This window comes from Homo sapiens, chromosome 12 (assembly GCF_000001405.40).
Source record: "Homo sapiens chromosome 12, GRCh38.p14 Primary Assembly".
NCBI classification, from domain to species: Eukaryota; Metazoa; Chordata; class Mammalia; order Primates; family Hominidae; genus Homo; species Homo sapiens.
The window spans coordinates 47,962,714-47,969,661 of NC_000012.12; the positions used below are offsets into that span (position 1 = coordinate 47,962,714).

Consider the following 6,948-nt stretch of genomic DNA (forward strand, 5'->3'; position numbering starts at 1 on the left):
GCTGATTGGTCAGGTTGGAGATGAAATCATAGGGGGGTCTAAGTGGGTTCTTCTTGCTGTTTTCTGTTCCTGGGTGGGATTGCAGAACTGGCTGAGCCAGATAACTGGTCTAGGTACTGCCAGCTGGTGCCTCAGAATGCAGGGTCTGAAAAATATCCCCAGCACCGATCTTAGATTTTACAATAGTGATGTTATCCCTTGGAGCAATAGGGAAGGTTTGGAATCTTGTGACCTCTGTCTGGATGACTCCTAAACCATAATTTCTAATCTTGTGGCTAATTTGTTAGTCTTACAAAGGCAGTCTGGTCCCCAGGCAAGAAGGGGGTTTGTTTTGGGGAAGGGCTGTTATCTTTGCTTCGAAGTTCAACTATAAACTAAATTCCTCCCAAAGTTAGTTTGGCCTATACCCAGGAATGAACAAGGGCAGTTCGGAGGTTAGAAGCAAGACGGAACTGGGTAAGTCAGATCTCTTTCACTGTCATAATTTTCTCACTTACAATTTTTGCAAAGGCAGTTTATCCGAATGCTCCGCATGTGTGTACCCTCAGCGACTACACAGCTCCTGTACTATAAAGAATATTTCAGAATGGCTTCGGTAGCCGGCAGCACCTTCCTCCTCTCGCAGCAGAGAAGTGTTTTGCTCTGGAAACTTGACTGGAGCCTTTCCCAGCCTATCTAGCGAACAGCAGAGCATCATCCCGACTCCGCGGACTACCGCGGCCCAACAGCAAGGGTCGCGGCTCCCCGGCGCTCTCTGCCGCCCTCTACCGGAACCGAGGGAGCCAGACAGCTGCGATATTGGGAAGGCCTCCGGAGCCGCGAAGAGCGCACGCGCGAGCGCGCGCCCGCGTTCTCCTGGCGGGCTTGGTATTTGGCGCCTGCGCGCTGAGTGCGTGCCGCTCCGCCGACCGAAGAGGCTGGTAAGTCCTCAAGCTGGCAGGTGGTCGGGGGAGCGGCCGGAGAGGAGCTGCCGGGAGTTCGTGCCCTGCAGGTCTGCGACGCTGGCGTTCGCTCCTGCCTGGGCCACTTTGGTGGGCTCAGAGCATCGCTTTTTGCCAAGGGGCGTGACCTGAGCCCGCCTCCTGGGGCTGGGGGGTGGAGAGGAATGGGAATCGTTAAGGCCGGTTATCAATTTGGTGCCTGTTTGTTGCTCGAGGAGGGGCATAGAGCTTACAAATAGTGAAGAGGAAGGGGCGAGGCTGGACCAGGTGGGAGCGGGGGTGCCCCAAGTCCCAGGGCGGTGAGGATCGAGGCAGGTGCGTGAAAGGCAGGCCCCGTTCCCCCTCCCCACCCCCGCCGGCTGTGTGTGGCGGGTAAGAGGAGAGTGGGTAGCACTACTACAAAATGAGGGTCCCGATAGAAATCGTACAGGTGTTGGGACCACACTCAGGGCGGCAACTTGTCATTTTTGCGTTTTTAATTTTCTTATAGAAACAAGCGATTTCTGTCGTGATTCACTGGGGCCGCTAACGTGCACTCCCTCTTTTCATCTTAGGACATGACACCAGTGGCATATCACGGCCATGGGGTCTCAGCATTCCGCTGCTGCTCGCCCCTCCTCCTGCAGGCGAAAGCAAGAAGATGACAGGGACGGTTTGCTGGCTGAACGAGAGCAGGAAGAAGCCATTGCTCAGTTCCCATATGTGGAATTCACCGGGAGAGATAGCATCACCTGTCTCACGTGCCAGGGGACAGGCTACATTCCAACAGGTGATCATGGAGGGATGATTCCCTGATGAGAATCCCAAGGTACCCTCGGAGTTCTCCTGTCTGCCCAGACAACTTTTCTTCTAGGCAGTAATACCATAATAGAGACAGTGCCCTGGACAGGAGCCAGCTCAACTGACTTAATACACTTGGGCAGTTCTGCAACTTCTCTTCCTCTCCTTATTTTTCCAACCCTTTCTTTTCTTTACCGCCACTCTTGTTCTTTTCCTGAGGTTTGGAACATTCAGTTCGCTCTGTGTTGTGGGATTTGTTGACAGGCACATTTCTTTATCGCTGTCACAAGGATTGGGACAGCTTTGCGGGGGAACCATCTTGGAAGCTGCTTTTCAAGGAAATGGGTAGCTAATCCTTAACAGCCTAAGGTCAGAAAAATATATCAGGTCAAGAGAGAGAGACAAATACTTAGCCTTGGTACAGGATCATCTATTACTATTAACAAATTGGCCCTCAGAAAGTCTTTAACAGTTTAGCTGGAGAGTCACAGAAATTTAGAGCTGGTTAGGACCTTCAAAATCATTTACTCCAAAGCTTCCATATGAAAGGCAAGGAAACCATGGCCTTGAGAGATTCGACGACTCTGCCAAGCCCATGCAGTAAAGCCAGAACAGGATCCCAGGTTTTTCAACTTCCACATCACTACCCTGGCAGCACTGATAGATGTTTTATAATTTGTGGCACTCTCTTGTTTCTTGTTCATTAGACCCAACATGTGAATTTCACTAGTATTTTTTAAAATGTCTCATTCCAGAAGAATATTTGTTGTGGCAGGCTCAAGTGAGACGTGAAGGAAGTACTGCCAACACATGGGATTTACAAAATAATTGTTTGGCTCTTTTCTAGAGCAAGTAAATGAGTTGGTGGCTTTGATCCCACACAGTGATCAGAGATTGCGCCCTCAGCGAACGTGAGTTACCTGCTTCTCACCTGTTAATACCTACTTCTGTCCCTAATCTCTTTCTGTATGTATGAATGCCAGTTAATTCTTTGAAAACTACACATGTTCTTATAAGTTCCCCATTTTCCTTATAACTGTTTGCCCAAGCAAGATATCTCTGCCCCCATCACAATCTGGGGAAAGAAACTTGAAGCTGGAAATGCTTTGAAGGTCAAGGAATGGAATCAGAAGAAACTGGGAAAGTGGAGTGTTCTGGGAGGTGTGGGACTGTCTCTGTCCACATAGCTCCTTTCTTCAGCTTTTCTTCCCAGAGTGCAAACAGTGTTTAAAGGAGTTTTAAAAGGTTTCTCCTGCTTCACTGCTTCTTAACTGGTTTATGGTTCCTGGCTCTTGGAACTTCCCTTTCAGCTCCCTTCTCTTTCCTGGTTTTGTGTTTAATCTTGACACATTGAACCTTGATATCTGACTGCCTGGGTCGGTCATGTGCTGTGTCATTTGCAGTAAGCAATATGTCCTCCTGTCCATCCTGCTTTGTCTCCTGGCATCTGGTTTGGTGGTTTTCTTCCTGTTTCCGCATTCAGTCCTTGTGGATGATGACGGCATCAAAGTGGTGAAAGTCACATTTAATAAGCAAGACTCCCTTGTAATTCTCACCATCATGGTAAGCCTTAGGGTTTCATTCCCTGGGTTGTGCACCTGCCAGGCTGGGACCCAGGACACTTACACTTGTTTCCTGACTTGCCCTGATGTAGGCCACCCTGAAAATCAGGAACTCCAACTTCTACACGGTGGCAGTGACCAGCCTGTCCAGCCAGATTCAGTACATGAACACAGTGGTCAGTACATATGTGACTACTAACGTCTCCCTTATTCCACCTCGGAGTGAGCAACTGGTATGCTGTTCTTTTAGGAATCTTGCCCCACAGGCCTAAGAGAAGAGTAGGGGGCTGTAGGAATGCCATAGCTGTGTCACTTTCCTTTTTGTCTCCTCATTTCTACTTGTAGGAACTGGTGATGAGGAAGACCTGTTGGGCCCTGTAATTATAAATAATTGTGAGAAAAAACAGCTATCATTTAAGCATTTGGGGAGCAGAATAATTTGTAAGAGACAAAGATTTGCTACAAAATAAGAAGCAGCAGTGTTACAGCCTGAGGTCCATTGGCCTCTCAAAAGGGAAGAGGTTGGCAGTATCAATTAGAGGCTCATAGACTATATTAGGGACAATCTCAGGGAAGTATTTTGCATGTGATGGAAGAATGACCCAAGGTCTTTGGATTGCTAATAATAATACTGTTCTGTGTCAAGCCTGCTTGGCCACAGACCAACTCTGGTATCTTATTTTCAGGTGAATTTTACCGGGAAGGCCGAGATGGGAGGACCGTTTTCCTATGTGTAGTAAGGACACTGTTCTCTCTGTGTGTGCTCTCTACTGGAGGAAAGGGATTCAAAGTCATACTCCATTGATTGGGGCCTGGTCCTGCCTTAGATCTCAGCTTTTGACTTATAGGTTCCCTGGCTTTGGATGTCTTGAGATTTATTTGAAGAATGTATTATTATTATGTGTGTATTTGAAGAATGTATTATTTGATATGTGACAGAAGTGCTGGAATTTCTAAAAGAGAACATTAAGCCACTAAAAACGTTACCAAGCTCCAGCACTTATGTGATGGGTTTGAAAAAACAGAAAGTGGTATGACGCTGTGGGAGGATGAAAATGACAGTGGCAGGGACTGAGAGCTGACAAGCCTTGGCAGCACTTAGGTCGGAAGGGGGAGGGGGGCACCCCAAACAGGACAGTGTAACTCTGCACTCTTCTACTGAGGCTTTAAAAAAAAAAAAACTGACTATTTCCATATTTGCTGTTTGGTAGCTTCTTCTGCACGGTACCTGAGATCCTGGTGCACAACATAGTGATCTTCATGCGGTGCGTCTCTCTTCCCTATCCCGATGGCCTGTCCGGCCATGTGAGCCTACCACCTTTGCTCAGGAGGCCCCTGTGTGACCACAGGGCAGAGGCACCTAGCCCGAGGGGACACCCTGTGCCTCACAGGCACAGATACAGTAGACCCTTGGTGTTCTCTAAACACAGTGTCCACATGCCCTTCACAAATCACCAGTCACCCTGAGCAGTCAAACATTTTCTCCATAAAATGGGTCTAGTTTAACTAAACACTTGATCCCCTCAGAATCCTAATGAGACAGTCATGAACAGAAAAGCTTTCTCAAGATGTTAAGTACTGGGCATTTGACCAGACTTCCTCTCTAGCCACACAAATTACCACATGTCATGGACCTTTAGGGTTGTTTTCTGGAAGCATGGCTGTTAAATTTGCAAGTGACAAGACTCTGCTGCAGACATGAAATATGAGGGGTTAGAGCAGAGTTTCTCAGCCTTGGCACTACGAACATTTTGGGCCAGACCTTTGTTGTAGGGGGCTGTTCTGTGCATTATAGGATGTTTAACAGTATTCCTGGCATCTGCCCACTAGATCCCAGTAGTAAACCCTCCATCCCTTAGTTGTGACAACCCAGAATGTCTTCAGGCATTGCCAGAAGTCTCCTGTGGGGTAAAATCATTCTCGATTGAGAAGCCTTGTTTGGAAGGCCACCTCCTGGCACAGTATCTCTGTGAAAGTGGAAAGATCTTCTGGCCTCCTGGTTACATAACCATGAGGATATGTGCCTGGGGCCCGTGGGTATTGTTCTCTGAACTTGCAAAAAATTTCCTGGGACATTTTTCTGGCTTATTTCATCCCCCAAACATAATTAATTCTTCTTGGTTTTCTTTTCCCTAGAACTTCAGTGAAGATTTCATACATTGGCCTCATGACCCAGAGCTCCTTGGAGACACATCACTATGTGGATTGTGGAGGAAATTCCACAGCTATTTAACAACTGCTATTGGTTCTTCCACACAGCGCCTGTAGAAGAGAGCACAGCATATGTTCCCAAGGCCTGAGTTCTGGACCTACCCCCACGTGGTGTAAGCAGAGGAGGAATTGGTTCACTTAACTCCCAGCAAACATCCTCCTGCCACTTAGGAGGAAACACCTCCCTATGGTACCATTTATGTTTCTCAGAACCAGCAGAATCAGTGCCTAGCCTGTGCCCAGCAAATAGTTGGCACTCAATAAAGATTTGCAGAATTTAATACAGATCTTTTCAGCTGTTCTTAGGGCATTATAAATGGAAATCATAACGTGGTTCTAGGTTATCAAACCATGGAGTGATGTGGAGCTAGGATTGTGAGTGACCTGCAGGCCATTATCAGTGCCTCATCTGTGCAGAAGTGGCAGCAGAGAGGGACCATCCAAATACCTAAGAGAAAACAGACCTAGTCAGGATATGAATTTGTTTCAGCTGTTCCCAAAGGCCTGGGAGCTTTTTGAAAAGAAAGAAAAAAGTGTGTTGGCTTTTTTTTTTTTTAGAAAGTTAGAATTGTTTTTACCAAGAGTCTATGTGGGGCTTGATTCACCCTTCATCCATTGGCTGGAACATGGATTGGGGATTTGATAGAAAAATAAACCCTGCTTTTGATTCATCTGTGTCTCCTCTGATTGCCTGGGTGTTTTGTAGGGATCTCTGGGGGAACCGTAGAATAGTTCCCTTCCAAGTGGGTCAGGATGGAATAGGAGGAAAGAGACTGCACCCTGATTGTACTCCCGTTCCCATGAGTTCCTGTCACAGCAAGCAGCCTCATTTTCTTCCATCTGCCTCTTGCGGCAGGGGGCTACCCTGTTCCCTTCCAGGACAGAGCACTCAGTGCCCCATGGAGGTTGGAATTCAGTCTTGAATAAGACATCCTGGTTTGAGGTTGTAAGTTTCTTGGGTCATCTCCACCTGCTCTGCCACCAGAGGTTAGGCTACAGCCCCAGGATGGCAGAGAATCTAGTTAAGAAGCTTGAGTAGTCAGGTGTTAGAAGTCAGCTCTTCCCATAGCACTGGGACCTCAGGAAACCCTAACAACAACAGGTGGTGGCTGGGGTTGTATATTAGTTTTTGTCTCCATTCCCATAGCTTGGTTTTCAATATTTGCTTAATGATCTGTATAGTCTTGAATCTTCAAACTAAAGCTAAATTTCATGACTGTTGGGCTGACTTCGACCATAACGGAGGAACCCAGAAGCTGAGGCTTAAGTTTTGGTGTTGTCCTGGATCATGTAGTGACACAGGTACATGACAGTGATGACTGATGTGGATTGATGATAGGACATCACCACTTACACGGAAGCAAATGTGCACCGTTTCTGAGCATGCTGCCCTAATCAGAACATGCCCTAAACACATGAAGATGTTCACGTTGCTACATTTGCTCTTTAGTTTT

General features: G+C 47.2%; 1 protein-coding gene across 6 annotated transcripts; it reads left to right on the plus strand.

Annotated features, from left to right (window-relative positions):
* The first annotated feature begins 882 nt into the window (after positions 1-882).
* On the plus strand, positions 883-6,165 carry TMEM106C (transmembrane protein 106C). Of its 6 annotated transcripts, none has more exons than NM_001143842.2 (8): positions 883-991; positions 1,496-1,710; positions 2,569-2,632; positions 3,125-3,284; positions 3,376-3,516; positions 3,970-4,019; positions 4,495-4,548; positions 5,420-6,165. In NM_001143842.2, the coding sequence occupies exons 2-8, from the start codon at positions 1,524-1,526 to the stop codon at positions 5,514-5,516; spliced, it is 753 nt and encodes a 250-aa protein (NP_001137314.1). In that variant the 5' UTR covers positions 883-991; positions 1,496-1,523; the 3' UTR covers positions 5,517-6,165. The 6 variants fall into 6 exon arrangements, with proteins under 6 accessions (NP_001137314.1, NP_001137315.1, NP_076961.1 ...); NM_001143843.2 differs by having other exon boundaries at positions 3,376-3,459; NM_024056.4 differs by having other exon boundaries at positions 883-920.
* The last annotated feature ends 783 nt before the right edge of the window (positions 6,166-6,948 follow it).